Source organism: Homo sapiens, chromosome 19, assembly GCF_000001405.40.
Source record: "Homo sapiens chromosome 19, GRCh38.p14 Primary Assembly".
In the NCBI taxonomy this organism is placed as follows: domain Eukaryota; kingdom Metazoa; phylum Chordata; class Mammalia; order Primates; family Hominidae; genus Homo; species Homo sapiens.
In genome coordinates this window covers 39,249,861-39,271,001 of record NC_000019.10, presented here as the reverse complement: position 1 = coordinate 39,271,001, position 21,141 = coordinate 39,249,861, and the positions used below count along the sequence as shown (strand labels likewise).

General features: G+C 49.8%; 1 protein-coding gene and 2 pseudogenes across 1 annotated transcript, besides 4 other annotated features; 1 reads left to right on the top strand and 2 right to left on the bottom strand.

The window, feature by feature from the left end:
• Positions 1 to 813: 813 nt before the first annotated feature.
• Positions 814 to 2,606, bottom strand: IFNL2 (interferon lambda 2). Its single transcript, NM_172138.2, has 6 exons — positions 2,424 to 2,606; positions 2,144 to 2,325; positions 1,773 to 1,850; positions 1,365 to 1,514; positions 1,181 to 1,264; positions 814 to 1,087 (listed from the first exon to the last, which is right to left on the bottom strand). Exons 1-6 carry the CDS (start codon positions 2,431 to 2,433, stop codon positions 989 to 991), a joined length of 603 nt encoding a protein of 200 aa, NP_742150.1. The 5' UTR covers positions 2,434 to 2,606; the 3' UTR covers positions 814 to 988.
• Positions 4,888 to 5,465: an enhancer, noted in NCBI's record as "H3K27ac-H3K4me1 hESC enhancer chr19:39756177-39756754 (GRCh37/hg19 assembly coordinates)". NCBI's record gives its function as "activates a minimal SCP1, AML or CMV promoter by ChIP-STARR-seq in naive H9 embryonic stem cells {active_cell/tissue: H9 hESC(naive)}" and the evidence as "EXISTENCE:reporter gene assay evidence [ECO:0000049][PMID:30033119]".
• On the bottom strand, positions 5,185 to 6,620 carry IFNL4P1 (interferon lambda 4 pseudogene 1; annotated as a pseudogene).
• Positions 5,466 to 6,045: an enhancer, noted in NCBI's record as "H3K27ac-H3K4me1 hESC enhancer chr19:39755597-39756176 (GRCh37/hg19 assembly coordinates)". NCBI's record gives its function as "activates a minimal SCP1, AML or CMV promoter by ChIP-STARR-seq in naive and primed H9 embryonic stem cells {active_cell/tissue: H9 hESC(naive and primed)}" and the evidence as "EXISTENCE:reporter gene assay evidence [ECO:0000049][PMID:30033119]".
• Positions 6,046 to 6,624: an enhancer, noted in NCBI's record as "H3K27ac-H3K4me1 hESC enhancer chr19:39755018-39755596 (GRCh37/hg19 assembly coordinates)". NCBI's record gives its function as "activates a minimal SCP1, AML or CMV promoter by ChIP-STARR-seq in primed H9 embryonic stem cells {active_cell/tissue: H9 hESC(primed)}" and the evidence as "EXISTENCE:reporter gene assay evidence [ECO:0000049][PMID:30033119]".
• Positions 12,033 to 12,778: a transcriptional cis regulatory region, noted in NCBI's record as "candidate enhancer chr19.4063 targeted for multiplex CRISPR interference". NCBI's record gives its function as "positively regulates SARS2 gene expression with high confidence in K562 cells {active_cell/tissue: K562}" and the evidence as "EXISTENCE:mutant phenotype evidence [ECO:0000015][PMID:30612741]".
• On the top strand, positions 15,621 to 16,973 carry MSRB1P1 (methionine sulfoxide reductase B1 pseudogene 1; annotated as a pseudogene).

Sequence of the window (21,141 nt, the reverse complement as noted above, 5' to 3'; positions counted from 1 at the left end):
CAGGAGAGGTCAGAGAGGTTCCAAGCATGAGAAAGGTTTGAAGCACTGTTCCTGGCTCTGAGTTGGAAGGGCCTATTAGTAGGGACCACAGACAGCCAGATAAGCATGAATGGGGAAGGACAGTGAATTTTCAGGGCAGTGAAATTATTCTGTCTTCCACTGTCATGAGGGATAGAATACGTTATGTATTATGCCTCAGATCTCAGGTCCTGGGGAAGAAGCGGGAGCGGCACCTGCCATCCATCCCCAGGAGCGACTCTTCCTAGAGAGCAAGGGCACAGGTTAGCCCCCAGTAGAAGGGGTGGAGGTTAGACCACTCCAGTGAGATTAGAGGATGGCTGACAACAGGATAGTGGAGGTTAACTCCCGGGAGGATGTTACAGGACCCTCCACTGCAGGAGGACATGAATCAGCCCCTATAGTAGGAGCATGAGATAGCCCACTGCAGGGAGGGTAGAGGTTAGCTTAGTGAGAGGAGTGGAGAACCCTTCAGCAGAGTCAGCTCAGGATGGACCCATAGCCAGGAGGGGGCAGGAACCTTAGTCCTACAGCAGCAAGGAACAGTGATCTGCCAACAATGTGACTGACCCTGGAAAGAGTTTCTCTTCAGAGCTCCCAGTAAGAGCCCAGCAGCAATGCTTGGATTCTAGCCTGTGAGTCCCACAGGAGAGAAACCAGCCAGGGCCAGCGAGCCTCTGACCTGCAGACTCCCAGCTCATCAAGTGTGTCTTTGGAAGATGCTACTTTTAGCGTTGTTATGGCAGCAACACAAAGGAAATACACACCAACAGACACACAGTCCAACGTCATGAGTGTCTTTTCCTTTGTTTATTTCAACAAGGGTTATAAAAAGTAGAAAAATAAACATTTTCCTGGAGGTGAGTTGGATTTACACACACAAATACATAAATAGCGACTGGGTGGCAATAAATTAAGACAAGTGGCTAATTTATAAATAAAATCTCAGGTTGCATGACTGGTGGGAGGGTCAGACACACAGGTCCCCACTGGCAACACAATTCAGGTCTCGCGTGAGGAGGCGGAAGAGGTTGAAGGTGACAGAGGCCTCGAGGCAGCCAGGGGACTCCTGTAGGGAGGAGGGGATGGGTCAGGGGCTGTCTGGGTTCTGGGCTCCCAGTGGCTCCCCAGACCTCAGTCCCTCTCTTCCCGGGTCACTCACCTTTTTTGGGGCCTCCTGGAGCCGGTACAGCCAATGGTGGAGGCGGCCCCGGGTCCTGGGCCCTGCCGTGGGCTGAGGCTGGATCTGTGGGCAGAGGAGGGCGGTGTGTGAGCCGGGGCCTTGGCAAGGGGAAGGACGCTGCTCAGAGCTCACAGACCTGGGTGCCCAGGCCCCAACGACTCACACAGGCCCGGAACTGGGAGAGGATATGGTGCAGGGTGTGAAGGGGCTGGTCCAAGACGTCCACCAGGGCTGGGTCAGTGTCAGCGGTGGCCTCCAGAACCTTCAGCGTCAGGGCCAGCTCAGCCTCCAAAGCCATGGGGCGCTCCCTCACCTGAGGAGAGGTGAGAAAGAGCAGGTGAGGGGGGAGGTGAGGGGAACAGGTTGGGGAGCAGGATAGAGAGGAACAAGTGAAGGTGACAGGCACAGGGGAGAGGGCACAGCCAGTGTGGTCAGGTGGGAGCGGAGGGAAGGGAGAGCAGGTGTGAGGAGAAGAGAGAGAGACAAGGGAGAAAGAGACGGTGAAGGGGCCACTACAGAGCCAGGTGAGTGGGGCTGGGAGAGCAGGGGTGGGCCTGACTCCCCCTCTCACCTGCAGCTGCCTCAGGTCCCAGGTCCTGGGGAAGAGGCGGGAGTGGCACCTGCAGTCCTTCAGCAGAAGCGACTCTTCCTAGACAGCAAAGGCACAGGTTAGCCCCAGCAGGAGGGGTGGAGGTTAGACCATCCTGGTGGGATTGGAGGATGGCTGACAACAGGATAGGGGAGGTTAACTGCTGGGAGGATGGTAGAGGACCCTCTTCTACAGGAAAACATGAGTCAGTCCCTACAGTAGGAGCATGAGATAGCCCACTGCAGGGAGGGTGGAGGCTAGCCCAGTGAAGGAAGCTGGGAGTGGGAAAGCATGGTGACGCTTGGAGTGGGGGTGGAGGCTAGTCCATGGCAGGAGGGCAGGGGGAGACTCACTAAGGCATCTTTGGCCCTCTTAAAGGCCTGCAGCTCCTGTGGAGACAGGGACTTGAACTGGGCTATGTGGCAGCCCCTTGCATCCGGGAGAGCCCCGTGGAGCCTGGCGACAGGAACTGCTCCAGTCACGGTCAGCACTGCGGCCATCAGCACCAGCACTGGCGTGCAGTCCCCAGTCATGTCTGTGTCACAGAGAGAAAGGGAGCTGAGGGGATGGAGAGGCTGCCCACTGAGGGCAGGGGCTGCAGGAGCTGAGCACGGACAGAGATGTGGGACTCACCTAGTTTCATTCCTGATCTCTGGTCTTTGTCAGCAGAAGAAACACTCTGAGGCTGTCACCCAGGGTCTGTTTGGGTCTTGTCTGGAGTCTCTGTTCTTTTCAGTCCCCTCTTCTGGATCTCAGACTGTGTCCTGGCTTTGACTCTTTCTGTCAGTTTTGAGCTCTGTCTGGGATGTAATTCCTGCCTGAGCTCCATGGGGCAGCTTTTATCCCTGACAGAAGGGCAGTCCCAGCTGATGTAGGAAAAGTGAAAACACAGCCTCAGGTAAGACACCGGCCACCAGGGGAGCCCCAGGCTGGGAAAGCCCAGAGCAGGGCAGGGCTAGTGAGCCAGATGAGCAGCTGGAGGGAAAGAGAAACTGATGGAGACTCAGGGGTAACCTACAGGAAGGTATGTTCCCAGGAGGATTCCACCTGCTCTGGTTTTGTTGTTGTTTAAGACAGGGTCTCACTCTGTCACTGGAGTGCAATGGCATGATCACAGCTCACTGCAGCCTCAAACTCCTGGGCTCAAGCCATCCTCCTCACCCAGCCTATTAAAGTGCTGAGATTACAGGCCTGAGCCACCCCTCCTGGCATATATATATATATATATTTTGAGACAGGGTCTTGTTCGGTCACCCAGGCTGGAGTGCAGTGCAAAATCTTGACTAACTGCAACCTCCACCTCCTGGGTTCAAGCGATTCTCTTGCCTTAGCCTCCCAAGTAGCTGAGATTACAGATTTGTGCCACCATTCCCAGCTAATTTTTATGGTTTTAGTAGAGATGACAGTTCACCAATTGGCCAGGCTGGTCTCGAACTCTTGACGTCAAGTGATCTGTCTGTCTTGGCCTCCCAAATTGCTGGGGTTGCAGGCATGAGCCACTGTGCCCAGAGGCCATGATTTCTTTCTTTCTTTCTTTTTTCTTTTTTTTTTGAGATGGAGTCTTGCTCTGTAGCCCAGGCTGGAGTGCAGCAGCGTGATCTCGACTCACTGCAACCTCCACCTCCTTGGTTCAAGGGATTCTTCTGCTTCAGCCTCCCGAGTAGAAAGGACTATAGGCATGCACCACCACGCCCAACTAATTTTTGTATTTTTAGTAGAGACGGGGTTTTGCCATATTGGCCAGGTTGGTCTTGAACTCCTGACCTCGTGATCTGCCTTCTTCGGCCTCCCAAAGTTCTGGGATTATAGGCGTGAGCCACCGCGCCCGGCCAGAGGCATATATGTGTGTGTATATATATATATATATATATATATAGAGAGAGAGAGAGAGAGAGAGAGAGAGAGAGAGCATGAGAGAGAGTGAGTGAGCAAGAGAGATGGAGTCTCGCTCTGTTGCCCAGGCTGGAGTGCAGAGGCACCATCTCAGCTCACTGCAACCTCTGCCTCCTGGGTTCAAGTGATTCTCCTGCCTCAGCCTCTTGAGTAGCTTGGATTACAGGCATGTGCCACCATGCCCAGCTAATTTCTGTATTTTTAGTAGAGACAGGGTTTCACCATGCTGGCCAGGCTAGTCTTGAACTCCTGACCTCATGATCCACCTTCCTCGTCCTCCCAAAGTGCTGGGATTACAGGCATGAGCCTCTGAGCCCAGCCAAGGCCAATATTTCTTAATTGCCCAGGCAAGGAAGGACTCAGGAATATGAGGCTCTGCTCAAGAACTGAGGTGTGACGAAGGACTTGAAGGACACCACGTGGGTGCCGTCTTTCTTAGGGAAGTTCAGGCAGTGGTGAAGAGCATGGGTCTTGGAGATGAAGGGTCTGGGGTTCAAACCTGGTTCTGACCCTCACTAGCCGTGTGACCTTGGCAAGGAGGGGTGCATTCAGCAACGCAGATTGCTAATGCACAGATTTGGAGAAAAAATTAATAACACAATTGTTTGTGTATTTATGTGAGTGATTATTTAATAGAATCCACTCATTAAGACCATACTAGGACCTCAGTTGGAGAGTTTAAAACGTGATCTCAACGGACACTACTCCTCCACAAGGCAAGTATGCTAACCCATCCTATAGGTGAGGAAACAGAGGCTCAGAAAAGTAATTTGCCCTGAATTCCACTGTAATTAACTGGCAGGGTCAGAACTGAACCTCAGGCCACCTGAGTCCCTGGCTCGGCCTCTTTTTTTGCTGTAAGGTGCACCTCACAATCATCATACGGAAAACAACCAATGCGATCAAAACACTCTTTGATAACTGGCAATAAATTTAAACCGGGAGACAGAATAGCAAATGCACAGGAACTTCACAAATACAAACACACGTAAGGGAATCCAAAGAACCACAGTCGGTTAAGGACCCTTGGGCCTTTCACTACCAAATCCCTCATGGATTGGTGTCCCTTAGATGCCGGATCCAAGAGTCACGGATTCACAGAATCTCAAAGCTGGCTGTGGGGCTACAAATCCGGGGTTAGGACCTGGTGTTGGGGGTGTCCTGGTAACCACACAAGGAGGAACTGGTCCCTGTTGCCTGGGGTCAGCCACGGTTTCCAGAGCTCAAGTTTTTTCCTGCCATAGCAACCGTTGGAGGGTCGTACAATGCACCCCGAGGAAATATCGTGGCTTCCTGGAGAACTGTGGTCTCTTCCCTGTAGAAGGACCCGCTCCTCTTATATCTGAGACAGTGGATCCAAGTCAGGCCCAAGGCTGCGAAGAAGTTCTCGTGCCTCAGCACCCACTGGCTGAGATCCTCGCCTGGCCGGCCCAATGGGCGACAGGGACCTCTTTCGGCAGCCAATGGCGTGGAGGTTTCCGTGCTGCCGGAGGGGGCGGGGTCAGAGGCAAGGCCCTGAGTGTGCAGCCAGCCGGAGCTCCCACGTGAGCAGGCGCAGGAGGTTGAAGATCACGCTGGCTTCGCGACACCGAGGGGAGTCCTGGAGCCAGGGAGGGAGGGCAGCGGGGCTAAGCCAGGCTCTTCCCTCCCGAGAAGACCTCTCCAATCCCGCCGCTCCCAGCCTCAGTGCTGTCCGTGTCAACCTCACTCGGTCCTCCGTGCAGGCTAACCCTGTACTGCCTGCTGCACTCACAGCTCTCCGCGGTTTGTGACGCCTCCTCTGGGCCCCGGGGACCTTCCTGGAGGAGCCTGGCCGTGCCAGCTGGAGGTGGGACGCGAGGCAAATGGAAAAGGCGAAGGACGGAGCCCCTCTCTGCATCTGCCCGAGGCCCTCCCAGCCGCAGACCCGAGCCCGGATTTGAGGACACCCAGAGGACCCGACCTGGGTCTGGATCGGTTTTTCCGCTAAGCAGGACAGATTGGCAAAGCGCTGGGGCTCGCCATGGGCCTGAGGATGCAGAGAAGCTGGCGGGGGCGAGGGGCGGCGGGGCGCGGCCGTCACTCACGCAGGCCGCCACGTCCCTCCCCGCGGCTGCCAGGGGCTCCAGGATCCGGCTGGCGCCGGGAAGCAGCTCCAGGCGGTGCAGGCCGCTGAGCACTGCCTGGGCGTCCGCGATGCTCCTGGCCACGTGGCGGAGCCGAGCGCAGGACTGCGGGGACTAGAGGGCGTTAGAGGGGGCAGCGCCCAGGCCATGCCTCTCCCGTCCGCTTCTGGGCCTCACCGATGGCCGCGGAGGATCCCTCCTGGGGCGGACGGAGCAGTTGCGCGACCTCCAACTCAGCGCCTCTTCCGCCTGCGGGACAAGCGGCGCTTATCGCATACGACTGGGCCCCCTCGCCAGGGCCCCTAACCTCTGCACAGTCTGGGATTCCTGGACGTGGATGGGTACTGGCAGCGTACGGTCGTGCCTGTCGTGTACTGAACCAGGGAGCTCCCCGAAGGCGTGAACCAGGGTTGAATTGCATCCCGCTCTCCCCCGGCATAGCCCTGCGCCCGCGACCTGGAGCCGAGTCCGCCCTGCAGGGCTCCTTTTGTGACTGACCCTGAGCCTGCGTTCGCGCTGACGACGGGGACTGCGGGGATCTCGTGGTGGGAACTGTGGGCTCTGACGTACAAGAGGCGCCTGCTGGGCGCTAGGACGCAGGACCCCTCGGGTCAGCGACGGGTGTGTGGGAACCCGGCGGGGCCAGTGTACCGGGGGGCGCAAGGGCTGGGCGGTCACTCACTTAGCGGTTCCTCAGCGCCTTGACCGCCGCCAGCGTCCGGGGCTCCAGCGAGCGGTAGTGCGAGAGCAGGCAGCGCTGGCGGATCGCCGCGCCCACCGTGCACACGACCCACAGTCCCGCGGCCACCGCGGCCCACACACTCGGTCGCATCTCTGCTCCTGAGGGACGTCAGGGAGGCCAAAGAGAGGGTCCCACGCGTCCAGTCCCCTGCCTTGGGTTAGGCTCACAGGGGAGGCGCAGCACACACAGAGGGAGAGAGAGCGGGAGCCGGCCCCCTCCTCGCCTTGGCCTCTGCCCTCACTTCTCCCTGCAGTGCACCCTCTGTGCCTCGTGCTGCAGCAGGTGCTGCCGGCCACTGTCCCCTGGGGGGCGTCCGGAGCAGTCTCCACCTGGGCAACAGTGCCTCGACGGACCATGCTGGCTTTTATGTGCAGGGCTGAGAGGGTTTGCAGCCGGTCCCCGTCCTGGACAAGATTTCGGAACGTCACTGCTGGCCCCAGCCCTCTGGGATCCCAGTCGGGGTGTGAGGACTTTAACCCACGGTGGGCCTATGCCAGGGACGGCTGGCCTCCAACTCTCTATCCTGAGCCAACTGCCTGTGTCTGTTTTCTGGACATCTGTTTGTCTCTCTTTGCCTCTGTCTGATCTGTCTTCTGTACTCTAGGAATGAACCGAGACACTTTTTCCTTTTCTTTGAAGCTACAGGCTTGGCAGAGCTACCAAATCATTTAAATGCCTGCCATCGGGTGTTCACAACTGGCTTTCCCATGCTGTCTCCTTCATCTTTCTCTGCTTTCTCATTACATTTCTGTTTGTCTGTCCCTGTCTTTGTATCTTTCTTTCCCTTGTCAATGAATGAGAAGAGTCACACTCTAAAAAACACTTGAAGAGATTTATCCTGAGCCAAATATGAGTGACCAATGGCCTGTGACACAGCCCCCAGGAGATCCTGAGAACCATGTGCCCAAGGTTGTCCGGCCACAACTTTTTTTTTTTTTTTTTGACACGGAGTCGCGCTCTATTGCCCAGGCTTGAGTGCACTGGCACGAACTTGTCTCACTGCAACCGCAACCTCCCAGGTTCAAGTGATTCTTCTGCCTCAGCCTCCCAAGTAGTTGGGACTACAGGCGTGCACCACCATGCCCAGCTAACTTTTGCCTTTTTAGTAGAGATGGGGTTTTGCCATGTTGGCCAGGCTGGTGTTGAGCTCCTGACCTCAGGTGATCCGCCCGCCTCAGCCTCCCAAAGTGCTGGGATTACAGGCGTGAGCCACCGCTCCTGGCCCACAACTTGATTTTATACACTTTAGGGAGACATAAGGCATCAACCAATGCACGTAAGATGTACATTAGTTCCATCCAGAAAGGCAGGACAAGTGGAAGCCAGGGTGTGCTTCCAAGTCATAGGGGGATTCAAAGAGTTTCTGATGGGCAATTGGTTGAGTTATTATCAATAGAAAGGAAGGTCTGGGTTACCATAAGGGGTTGTGGAGACCAAGGAAGGAAGGAAGGAAGGAAGGAAGGGAAGAAAATGCAGAGATCTTGTGCACCCTTTACCCAGTTTCTCCTAATGGTAACTAACATCTTACAAACCTCCAGTCCAATACCACAACCAGCATATTGATATTGACACAATCCACCTATCTTATTCAGATATCCTGTTTTACTTACATTGAGTGTGTGTGCAGATGAAGCCTCCAGATAGCAGGCTTCAGAGAAAATAGATTGTAATTTTAAAAAAAATCAGACTTAAAGTTCTCTTCTATCAGTAATTCCAAAAAGCAGGAGGCTATGATGAGGCACGTCCCACTCCCCCTTGCAATTATGGCCCGAACTGGTTTTTCAGGTTAACTTTGGAATGCCCTTGGCGGAGAGGACAGGATCCATTCAGATGGTTGCGGGGGGCCTTAGAATTTTAATTTTGGTTTACACCCTGAATACTCCCCCTTCTCTTCTGTTTTTTTTTTTGTTTGTTTGTTTGTTTGTCTTTTCTTTTCTTTCTTCTTTTTTAGAGACAGGGCTTCACTGTCTCTGGGCCCAGCCTGGAGTGTGGTGGTGAGATGACAGTTCACTGTAACCTCAATCCTGTGGGCTCCAAGGATCTTCCTGCTTCAGCTTTAAGTAGTCCCTAAGCAGCTGGAGCTGCAGGCACCCACCACCATGCCCAGATAATTCTTCTATTTTTTTTTTTGTAGAGATGGGGGTCTCACTCTGTTGCCCAGGCTGGTCTTAAATTCCTGGCCTCGAGCTGTCATCCCACCTTGGCCTCTCAAAGCACTGGGATTACAGGTGTGGGCCACTGCACCTGGCCCCCTCTCTCTGGTTTTTGTTCATCTGTGTCTCAGACGAGCTATCTCTGGCTTTCATATTGTTATATGAATATAATATTTATTTGTTTACCACTTAATAAAGTATTGTTAGTTTGCTGTTGAAAATTGGAATTACAGACATGTTTTTCTCAACTACTGTTTTGTGTGTGTATATATATATATATATAGCTAATATATACTCAGCACTTCCTGGCTCCATTCTAAGCTCTTCTCATGTAAATATCTGTTTTTTTTTTTTTCTCCCCAGCAACTGTTAGGTAGTTGACTGGTTATTGGCTGACATTTTGTAGAAGAAAGAACGGTGGCACAGAGAGGTTATGAATGAAACACGAGCTCACACAGCTTGTAGGTGTGAAATGGGGATTTGATCCCAGGCTCCCTGGGTTATTATTGGCAATACTCTGCCATCTCTCATCTGTATGACTGATCTATCCCATACAGAATAGCCTACATATGTTTTTTGTTTGTTTTTGAGATACAGTCTCGCTCTGTTCCCAGGCTGGAGTGCAGTGGTATGATCACAGCTCACTGTAGCCTCAACCTCCTGGGCTCAAGCGATCCTCCCACGTAGCTGAGACTATAGGCATGCACCACCATGCCAGCTAGTGTTTAAATTTTTTGTAGAGACAGGATCTCAGTATGTTGCCCAGGCTGGTCCAAACTCTTGGCCTCAAGCGATCCTCCTGCCTTGGCCTCCCAAAGTGTTGGGATTACAAGTGTGAGCCACTGCACCCAGCCCTAGGTATGTTTTGAGTAAGTCAGGCACGCTTCCTACTTGAGACCACTTTTAATTAATTCTAATTAGGTTTATATAAATATTGATAATTATGGGTAAGTAGTGACTGTTTTTCATGGTTATATGTCTTCCTCAGCATGAGTATGAGAAAATTATTTTATGGTTTGCCAGTGCATATTTTCCTATTCAAAGGCATAGAGGTTTTAAGAACCAGCAAAGCCTGGCCAACATGGTGAAACCCCGTCTCTACTAAAAATAAAAAAATTAGCTGGTCAGGTGGCACGTACCTGTAATCCCAGCTACTCAGGGGACTGAGGCAGGAGAACTGCCTGATCCAGGGATGGGGAGGTTGCAGTGAGCCGAGATTGTGCCACTGCACTCCAGCCTGGGTGGCAGAGAGAGACCCTGTCTCAAAAAAAAAAAAAAAAAAAAGATTTCAAAAAGTGTCCATGGAATATAATTTCCAAGCTTCTATCACCTCTCCCCAGTCTTTCCTGAGATCCCCCATTTCAGTTGGGGAGCTAAATAGTTTTGGGAAGATGATTTAGCCCCCTCCCCATCCCTGGGATGGGGTATGTGATCTGGCTGTAGCCATTTACATCAGTTTGTCTTCTTAGCCACAGTGATTGGGTTTGTGGTGGGCATGTGACCTAATCCAGTTCAATCAGAATGATCTTCGGTCCTGAACATCTTGGGAAAAAGATGCTGTTTTTTTGTTTTTTTTTTTTATCTACTGAAGAAAAATAAAACCTGAAGCCTGAAGCCTGGGATGCTGCTAGACCCATGTTGGATTTACAAGAGTAAACAGGCTTCTCATCAGCATAAGGGAGACCTGAAATATTTAAAAACAAACAAGCAAACAAACTGAGGCTGGGTGCCGTGGCTCATGCCTGTAACCTCAGAACTTTGGGGCCGAGGCAGGCAGATCACCTGAGGTTAGGAGTTCGAGACAGGCCTGGCCAACATGGTGAAACCCCGTCTCTACTAAAAATACAAAAATTAGCCAGGCATGGTGATGTGCACCTGTAACCCCAGCTACTCAGGGAGCTGAGGCAGGAGAGTTGCTTGAACCCTAGAGGCGGAGGTTGCAGTGAGCCGAGATCATGCCACTGCACTCCAGCCTGTGTGACTGAGTGAGACTCCATCTCAAAAAACAAACAAACAAACAAACAGACAACTAACCAACTGGGAGGTTACTCATGTCTTAAGCTGCTAGATCAAACTTAACCTGAAGCCTCACCACTAACCCTAGGCTTCTCAGTTTTGTAAGCTCAAAAATTCTCCAGTGTTCAAGCCAGCATGAGTTGAGTTTTTGGTTATTTACAACCAAAAGTGTCCTAACTGATAGATACCATGAGGCCGAAATAAAATTATATATGTCCAAAGACTGAAGAACTAGAAGGAAAATTAGTAATGGCAGAAAGAACGGAGTGTCATAGATTGGTTGGAGGAAAGCGCCAGATGCAAATTATTGACAATCAGTGATCCAGCTCTGACCACCACAGAGCAGGTTATGTGCAATAAAAAATTCAATTTAATGCTGTCCCAATAGAAATGTGTCTTGTGATCCACTGCTTGAGACCCCTAGTCTGTTAGAAACACTACTTCAGGAATTTAAGAAATAATAAAAAGCTTTGGAGAACATTTATTTGTGAGTATAACTCAAAAATGATCTAGGAACTGGATCACTCATACATTGCTGGTGGGAATGGAAAAATGGTGCAGCCATTCTGAAACACAGTTCAGTAGTTTCCTGTAAAACTAAATATGCAACTCCTAGTTGGCCCAGAATGGTATGCCTGGATATTTATTCCAGAGAAATGGAAACCTATGTCCATGCAATAACATAGTTATTTGCTTTGCAAATGATCACAGCAACTTTATTTGTAATAGCCCAAACTACAAAGCCCAGTTGTCCTCCAAAAGGTGCATGATTACACAAATTCTGGCAAATATATACCATCAAATAGGAATGAACTATTGATACATGCAACAACTTGGATGAATATCCAGAGAATTATGCTGAGTGAAAAAAGCCCATCCCAGAAGGTTACATACTACTTCATTATCATACACACACACACACACACACACACACACACACACACACACACACATTTTTTAAAGTTGAGAGTCTTGCCCTGTCACCTAGGCTGGAGTGCAGTTGCAAAATCATGGCTCACTTCAGCCTTGACCTCCTGGGCTCAAGCAATCCTCTCACTTCAGCCTCCAGAGTAGCTGAGACCACAGGCACATGCTGTGGGCGGCAAGCCATCCAGGTGCCGAGGCAAGAGGCTGAAGGCACAAGCTGTTCCAGTATAATAAAGAAAATAATTATAATAAGAAAAGTTATACTAGAAATAGGATATAGATATGATTATATATGAATATTATCAATCATTAGTTTGTAGTATTACTCTTTGTTTTATTATTATAGTAATTTCTGTTTTATAATTATAACCTAGGAGAAAACAGGCCGTACAGAGTCAGGGCTAAAGGGACACTGTGAGAGGTGACCAAAAGACAAGAGTGTGAGCCCTCTGTCACGCCCGGATAAAGGCCGTTTGAGGGCTCCTTGGTCTAGCGGTAGCGCCAGTGCCTGGGAGAGCACCCGTTACTTAGCAGACCGGGAAAGGGAGTCTCCCTTTCCCTGGGGGAGTTAGAGAACACTCTGCTCCACCAGCTCTTGTGGGAGGCCTGACATTAGCCAGGCCTGCCCGCAGTCATCTGGAGGCTTAAACGTCTCCCCATGGTGCTGTGCTTCAACGGTCACGCTCCTTGTCCACTTTCATGTTCCGCCTGTACACCTGGCTCCTCTTTTTGAGTTCTTAGAAGATAACAGTAACAGAATTAGTGAAAGTATTAAAGTCTTTGATCTTTCTGATAAGTGCATAGAAAAAATGCTGACGTATGCTGTCCTCCCTCTCCGCCTCAGCTACCACAAAGGGAAAGGCCCCCTGTCATGTGGACACGTGACTCACGTGACCTTATCAATCACTTGACATGACTCATACTCCTTACCCTGCCTCCTTGCCTTGTATACAATAAATAGCAGTGCGTCCAGGCATTTGAGGCCACTACCAGACTCCGCACATTGGTGGCAGTGGTCCCCTGGGCCCAGTTGTCTTTCCTTCTATCTCTTTGTCTCGTGTTTTTATTTTCCTACAATCTCTCGTCTCTGCACACAAAGAAAAAACCCACAGGCCATTGGGGCTAGACTCTACAACATGCCACCGTGCCTGGCTAATTTTTGTATTTTTTGTAGAGACAGGGTTGCCCTATATTGTCCAGGCTGGTCTCAAATTCCTGGGCTCTAAGTGATCCTCCCACCTCAGCCTTCCAAAGTGCTGGGACTACAGGCATGAGCCACTGCACCTGGGCTATATAACATTTTTCAAATGAGAAAAATTTGAAAGTGGAGAATAAATTAGTTGTTTCAAGGAGTTAGGGAAAGATGGTGGAGGGAGGAAGGTGGGTGTGGTTATAAAAAAGGGCCAGGTGCGGTGGCTCACGCCTGTAATCCCAGCACTTTGGGAGGCCGAGGCAGGCAGATCACGAGGTCAGGAGATCAAGGCAATCCTGGCTAACACGGTGAAACCCCGTCTCTACTAAAAAAAAAATACCAAAAATTAGCCAGGCGTGGCGGCGGGCATCTGTAGTCCCAGCTACTCTGGAGGCTGAGGCAGGAGCATGGTGTGAACCTGAGAGGTGGAGGTTGCAGTGAGCTGAGATCTCGCCACTGCACTCCAGCCTGGCGACAGAGCAAGACTCTGTCTCAAAAAAAAAAAAAAAAAAAAAGATGGCATGGCCCCAAGGATATTCATGGTGATGGAACTCTTCTGTCTTTACTGTGGTGATGCATACATGAACCTAAGCATGTGATGAAATTATATAACTAAATTGTATACAGTAAACTGTATGACTAAACACACACACAAGAATACACAAACACACTCAATGCAAGTAAAACTGGGGATATTTGAATAAGATGGGTGGACTGTATTAATGTCAATATCCGGCTGCGGTATTGGACTAGCATTTTGTAAGATATTACCATTGGGGGAAACTGGATAAAGGGTGCACAGAATCTCTAATATTTCTTTCTTTCTTTTTCTTTTTGAGACAGGGTCTCGCTCTGTCACCATGCTGGAGTGCAGTGGCACCATCACGGCTCACTGCAGCCTCCACCTCCCAGGCTCAAGTGATCCTCCCACCTCAGGCCCCTGAGTAGTTGAAACTACAGGTGGGTGCCACCACACCCAGCTAATTTTTATATCTTGTGTGTGGAGATGGGCTCTTGCTATGTTGCCCAGGCTGGTCTTGAACTCCTGGACTCAAACAATCCTCCTGCCTTGGCCTCCCAAATTGTTGGGATCATAGGCATGAGCCACCAAGCCTAGCCTGAATTTTTGCTTATAGCAGCATGTGAGTCTTTAATGACCTCAGTCTCAAACATTTCTATTAAGAAAACTCAGGGGAAAAAAAATAGAAATCTTCAGGAAGTAGATGACCTACTTGAACATTTAAGCACGGGAAAAGTGGGCAGGGTTAAGGAAGACACAAGAGGTGGTGGTGCACCCAGAGGCAAGTAACAGGGGGAGCTGTTAGCACTCCTAGGCATGACAGGACAAAGACTGTGGCTGTAGATAGAGGATCACGGCCACTGTCTAACTCCAGACTTGCAGGGGGCAGCCAGCAAATAGGAGAATAAACACCCCCACCTTGCTCTCTGCCCTCCCTCAATCTCCTGCCAGCACCTCCACTGGCTAAACACCAACCATAAGCAAGAGGGCAGGCAAGCCTCAGAGGTGCAGATCAGGAGGGGTCAGTGAACACCCACACAGCAGCAAAGTGGCAGAGGATAAGGACAACGTTTTACAAAGCCATTATCAGAAGCTCTAGAGGCCAGTCTCTCCTGGTGCAGGGACTCTCACACCTGTAATCCCAGCACTTTGGGAGGCCAAGGTGGGTGGATCACTTGAGGTCAGGAGTGCCAGGCCAGCCTGGCCAACATGGCGAAACCCCGTCTCTGCTAAAAACACAAAAATTAGCTAGGTGTGATGGTGGGTGCCTGTAATCCTAGCTACTTGGGAGGCTGAGGTAGCAGGATTGCTTGTACCTGGGATGCAGTAAGCTGAGATTTCACCACTGAGTTCCATCCTGGGTGACACAGCGAGACTCTGTCTCAAAAAAACAAAAAGAGAAGCTCTAGAAATTGGATTAATGTACTTTTTAAGAAAGTCTCACAAATGATCTACCCGACCAGCAACTGAAGAAGCAGTGAGCTACCATTTCCCTCATATCCAGTGAGTTTGTTTGTTTTACTGTTTAGTTAGGCAGAATTCATTCTCCTTGTAAGAAATTAAAATACGGCCAGGCGCAGTGGCTCATGCCTGTAATCCCAGTGCTTTGGGAGGCTGAGGCAGGCAGATTGCCTGAGGTCAGGAGTTCGAGACCAGCCTGGCCAACGTGGTGAAACCCCATCTGTACTAAAAATACAAAAATTAGCCAGGTGTGGTGGCTAATTTTTACAGACACCTGTAATCCCAGCTACTTGGGAGGCTGAGGCAGGATAATCGCTTGAACCTGGGAGGCGGAGGTTGCGGTGAGCGAAGATCATGCCGCTGCACGGCAGCCTGAACGACAGAGCAAGACTCCGTCTCAAAAAAAAAAAAAAAAAAAAAGAAATTAAAATATTGCTAATACATTTAAATATTCCAGTGATCATCTCCTCAGTTCCCATGCTCTCTCCAGTGATAAATAACTCACTATTAATCAGTTTGGGACATATCCTTGCACACTTTTTTATACATTTCTAAACATTTTATATATTATCCATATTTTATATATTTGCATAATGCATGTATAGCTCCCAAGGAAATATGTCTGTATGATTTAGGAAATCATATTTAGGAAATCATATTTAGGAAATCATATTTAGGAATCATATTCCTAAATCATATTTAGGAAATCATGATTTAGGAAATCATATTTCCCAAGGAAATATGTCTGTATGATTGCTTTAATTAGAGTTTTTACTTTGACATAATTGTGGATTCACGTGCAATTGTAAGAAATAATGCAAAGAGATAGGTTCTTGGGAGGTGCAGGGAGGTGGGCGCGGGTCCCAGTGGTCATGGGGTCAGCGGCCTTGGGTCTGTTGGAGGGGGCAAGTGCACAGTGGTCCTGGCGGCGCCATGTCATTCTGCAGCTTCTTCGGGGGCAAGGTTTTCCAGAATCACTTTGAGCCAGGCGTCTATATGTGTGCCAAGTGTGGCTATGAGCTGTTTCCCAGCCGCTCAAAGTACACATACTCATTCCCCTGGCCGGTGTTCACCAAGACCATCCGTTCTGACAGCGTGGCCAAGCGCCCAGAGCACAATCATCCTGAAGTCTTGAAGGTGTCTCGTGCAAGTGTGGCAACACGTTGAGCCACAAGTTCCTGAACGATGGCCCCAAGCTGCGGCAGTCCCGATTCTGAATGAATATTCAGCAGCTCGCTGAAGTTTGTCCCTAAAGGCAAAGAAACTTCTGCTTCCCAGGCGCACTAGGCGGGCAGCCCACACCGACCCCAGATGGCCACGGCACTAAGGCCACACACTGGCCATTCTACCATGGAATTCGAGACCTGGACATTGAGACAGGAAGGCAGGGCACAATGGCTGAAACATCAAGGCTCCCAAGGCCGCAGCTCTGAACAAGATCTTGTTTCTTGGAAAAGTCACTTATTTGCTGATGGTTCCTGCCTTCTGCTAGGACAGGCTTGGGCTGTGTGGCCACACTGTCGGCTGACTTAGCCTCCTGCTCACCTGATAAGGCATCTCAGGGGTGTGGTCTGGGCGTGGCTGGTCTTTGAATGATGTTACGCCCGACCTTCGACCTTTCCTTCCCGGTCCTGCCTCTGGACTCACCCCTGTGGGGCCCAATTTCAAGACAGACTCTCATCCTCACCAAAGCTTAGGCCCACATCTCCCAGGCTGCTTACGAGACAGAATGGAAATGGAGGCTGCCCTTGACAGCTGCCCCGGCTCTGGTCGCCACATGATCCGCTGTGGTTAAACCCTTCCAGACCAGCCAGGTGATGATGGTCCGTGACCCACCAGGAAAGCAGGCTGATGGGGCAGACCCCTGGCCTCTTGTCCAAGAGGGGAGAAACCTAAACCCTGTTTCACAACCTGCGCAGAAGTAGCTTGGGTCACTCGGGCTTAGGAAAGCGGCTGTTGCTTCATTACTTTACCCAGCATGGGGCTGGGGGCCTGCAGTTCACCTGCAGAGAGCTCCCCAAGATATGACTGTGTGTCTTACTGTACATGCTCGGAGGTCTTCCCACAGGTGAAGGTGGGCGATGCTGAAATCACCCCCCCACCCATCTTAAGCATCTTAAGTAATTACCTTCTGGAGTAATCAGGCGGAAATCAATAAACAAATGAAACGTGCAAAAAAAAAAAAAAAAAAAAGAATGCAAAGAGTTACTGTGTACCCTTTACCCAGTTTCCCCCAATGGTAACATCTTGCGAAAACCATGGTATTATATCACATAGAGAATATTGACATTGTGTATTAGTCCATTCTTATACTGCTATGAAGATGCTACCTGAGACTGGGTAATTTATAAAGGAAAGAGGTTTAATTGACTCGCAGTTCTGCATGGTTGGGGAGGCCTCAGGAAATTTACAATTATGATGGAAGGGAAAGCAGGCACCTCTTACATGGTGGCAGGAGAGAGAGACAGTGAAAGAAGGAGGAACTTCCAAATACTTAAAACACCATCAGATCTCGTGAGAACTCACTCACTATCACAAGGACAGCATGGGGGAACCACCCCCATGATCAGATCCAATCACTTCCCACCAGGTCTGTCCCTCAACACCTGGGGATTACAATTCAAGATGAGATTTAGGTGGGCACCCAAAGCCTAACCATATCACATTGATACAGACAAGATACAAAACACTCCATACCACAAGATCCCTTGTGTTGCCCTTTCAGTAGCCACGTCCACTCCTCTCCCATCCGACCCCTTCCTTAACCTCTGTCAACCACTAATCTGCTCTCCATTTCTATAATTTTGTCATCTCAAGAATGTTGGAATGGAAACATACCAGCCTGGCCAACAAAGTGAGACTGCATCTCTGGGGAAAAAAAGAAAAGTTAGCTGGGCCTGGTGGCACGTGCCTACTACAGGTAGCTGGCGCCCCAGCTACTTGTGAGGCTGGGGTGGGAGGATGGCTTGAGCCTGGGTGATGGAGGCTGCAGTGAGTGGCGATTGTGCCACTACTATGCTCCAGCTTGGGCTACAGACTGAGACCATGTCCAAAAAAACAAAAACAAAAAGCAACCTCTGCTCTGCAAAAGACACTGTTGAGGAAATGAAAAACCTGCCACCCTACCAATCAGGGGTTGGTTATTAAATGATCCTGCTGGAATGGAAGCTCTAATAGTGGTGTGGGGGTGGGGGATGTCTTCCGTTTGCCCCTCCTTATCTACTGTCCCTGCTTCTCCAACCTACTCTGGGCCCCAGGTAGAGGGGAGAGGAGGTCAGGTGTTTTTTCCCCAGGGCTCCTCCCTGTGCTGGGCCACCACAATTCATCTGTTTCCTCCACAAATCTAAGTGACTCTCTCCTCCCCAAGTCAGGCAACCACATGCACACCCTCAACCCTCTCCCCTTCCTTTAGGCCTGTGGATGAGGCCCCTCACCCATGCTGGCCCCAGGAGCTTGCACTAGCTCTTGTCATTTGCCTTTACTATCCAATCGCTTTATAAAGGCTTCTGGTATCAACCCCACCTCAAATTATCCTAAATTGACGGGCCATCTGTTTCCTGCTGGGCCCTAACTGATACGCTATAATTAAAGATGTGGGAGAATGCAAATGAGAGATAATGGTAAGACATAAAAAGCCAGCTACCAAACTGTATACAGCATGGTTCCAATTTGGGTGAAATTGCTCACAGAAAGGAAAACAAAAGGAGGAACAGTGACAAATTGTTAAAAAATATTTACCTCCAGGAGGTGAAATACAAGACTTACTTTAACTCTCCATGTTGTATGTTTTTGTATGGATGGAATCTTTTACAAGGAACAAGTGTTACTTTGGTAGTCAGAAAACATATGCACAAATAAACACATGGAAAATTCCTATGTATTGGGACGATTTGTTCCAGAAGTGGGATGAGGGATGAGAGGAGGATGGTGAAGTTATAGGTGATGTTTTTTTTCTTTTATGTTTTTGTGTATTTTTCAAGCTTTATCCACTGAACATGCATGGCTAATTTTATCAGAAAAAGAAGTAGATTTTATGTTTAAACAAAAAGAGATTGATTGAGACAGACAGAGCGACCTGGGGCAGGATGCTTGTTGGAAAAATGAATAAGAAAGATGGAGTCACGCCAGAGACAGAGACAGGAACAGAGAGAGAGAGAGAAAGAGAAAGCAAGACACAGGAGGAGACGCTGAAAAAGATAAGGGCAGTTATGGCATAGAGAACAAGCTTTGAAACTGCAGAGTGTGTGGGTTCAAACCCCACCTCTGCCATTTATTAGCTGTGTATCTTGGAACAGTTCCTTTACTTTCCTGGGCCTCAGTTTTCCATCTGTAAAATAAGGTAATAGAACCTCCCTTTTGTGTCTTTTTTTTTTTTTGAGACGGAGTTTCACTTTTGTTGCCCAGGCTGGAGTGCAATGGCGTGATCTCGGCTCACTGCAACCTCCGCCTCCCGGGTTCAAGTGATTCTCCTGCCTCAGCCTCCCGAATAGCTGGGATTAAAGGCATGCACTACCATGCCTGGCTAATTTTGTATTTTTAGTAGAGATGGGGTTTCTCCATGTTGGTCAGGCTGCTCTCGAACTCCTGACCTCAGGTGATCTGCCCACCTCGGCCTCCCAAAGTGCTGGGATTACAGGCATGAGCGACTGTGCCTGGTTTGTGTCTTTTTTTTTTTTTTTTTTTTTGAGACAGTCTCTCACTCTGTCGCCCAGGCTGGAGTGCCGTGGCACAATCACAGCTCACTGCAGCCTCAACCTCCCAGACTCAAGGGATCCTTTCATCTCAGCCCCATGAGTAGCTGGGACTACAGGTGTGTGCCACTGTCAGAGGCATTTGAACCAGAGCGACTCCATCTTGAGTGAGGGCTAGGAAAAAGGAGGCTGGGACCTGCTGAGCTGCATTTCCAGGAAGTTAGGCATTCCTAGCCTCTAGATGTTTACTGTTAATGGAACAGATTGATAACATTTACTAAAGAGACTCAGGCTCAGGAATGTCCTGAAATCTCGGTATCTTGAGAACAGAAGCATTCTTCATCAGAAGCATTCCTCGTTTTGCTTTAAAGATAGTAATATCGGTTTTTGCAAAATATGATAATTAAGAAATTTAATCCTTTGTCACAAACCCTGGTAGCAGAGCACATCTCCCCATGATATTTTTTGTTATAAACAAGCATTGTACCTAGGGTGGGCCCATTCCTCCTCTTATTTTCAGGAACACCCTACTCTGTCTATGGAGTAGCTATTCCTTCGCCACTTTGCTTATTTTTTTCTCGCTCTGTCACCCAGGCTGGAGTGCAGTGGCGCAACCTTGGCTCACTGCAATTCTCCTGCCTCAGCCTTCCAAGTAGCTGGAACTACAGGTGTGCACCACCACACCCGGCTAATTTTTTTGTATTTCTAGTAGAGACAGGGTTTTGCCATGTTGGTCAGGCTGGTATTGAACTCCTGACCTCAAGTGATCCACCTGCCTCGGCCTCCCAAAGTGCTGGGATTACAGGTGTGAGCCACTGCACCCAGCCACCACTTTACTTTTTAAAATAAACTTGCTTTTGCTTTGCACTGTGGACTCGCCCCAAATTCTTTCTTGCACAAGATCTAAGAACCCTCTCTTGGGGTCTGGATCAGGATGCTTTTCCAGTAACACCACCATGCCCAGCTAATTTTTAAATCCCTTACTTTTTGTAGAGACAGGGTCTCACTATATTGCCCAGGCTGGTCTCGAACTCCTGGGCTCAAACAATCCTCCCTCCTCAGCCTCCCAACATGCTGGGATTACAGGCCTGAGCCACTGTACCCGGGCTTGTGTCATTTTTGACAATGAAATTGTCACCTGTAAATGCAGTTCTTTCCCTACTCTGCATTGGTTGCAAAGAAAGAACACCCAATTGGAAACAAAAAGGCAAGCAGGTTTTATTCCTAGCTAGGATGGGGAAGGAGAGAACTCTTGCTCTAAAGACACCTTATTGCTGGGCGAGCTCATGCCTGTAATCCCAGCACTTTGGGAGGCCAAGGCGGGCGGATCACCTGAAGTCAGGAGTTTGAGGCCAGCTTGGCCAACATGGTGAAACCCCATCTCTACTAAAACTACAAAAAACTAGCCAGGCATGGTGGCATGTGCCTGTAATCCCAGCTACTCAGGAGGCTGAGACAGGAGAATTGCTTGAACCCGGGAGGTGGAGGTTGCAGTGAGCCGAGATCACGCCACTGCACTCCAGCTTGGGCAACAAGGGTGAAACTCCATCTCAAAAAAAACAAAAAACAAAAAACACCTTATCGCCCAGCTGTGGGGAGCTGGGAAATTTTAAGGAGTTAGCTGTGGGGTGGGGAGGTATGTAAGCATGCG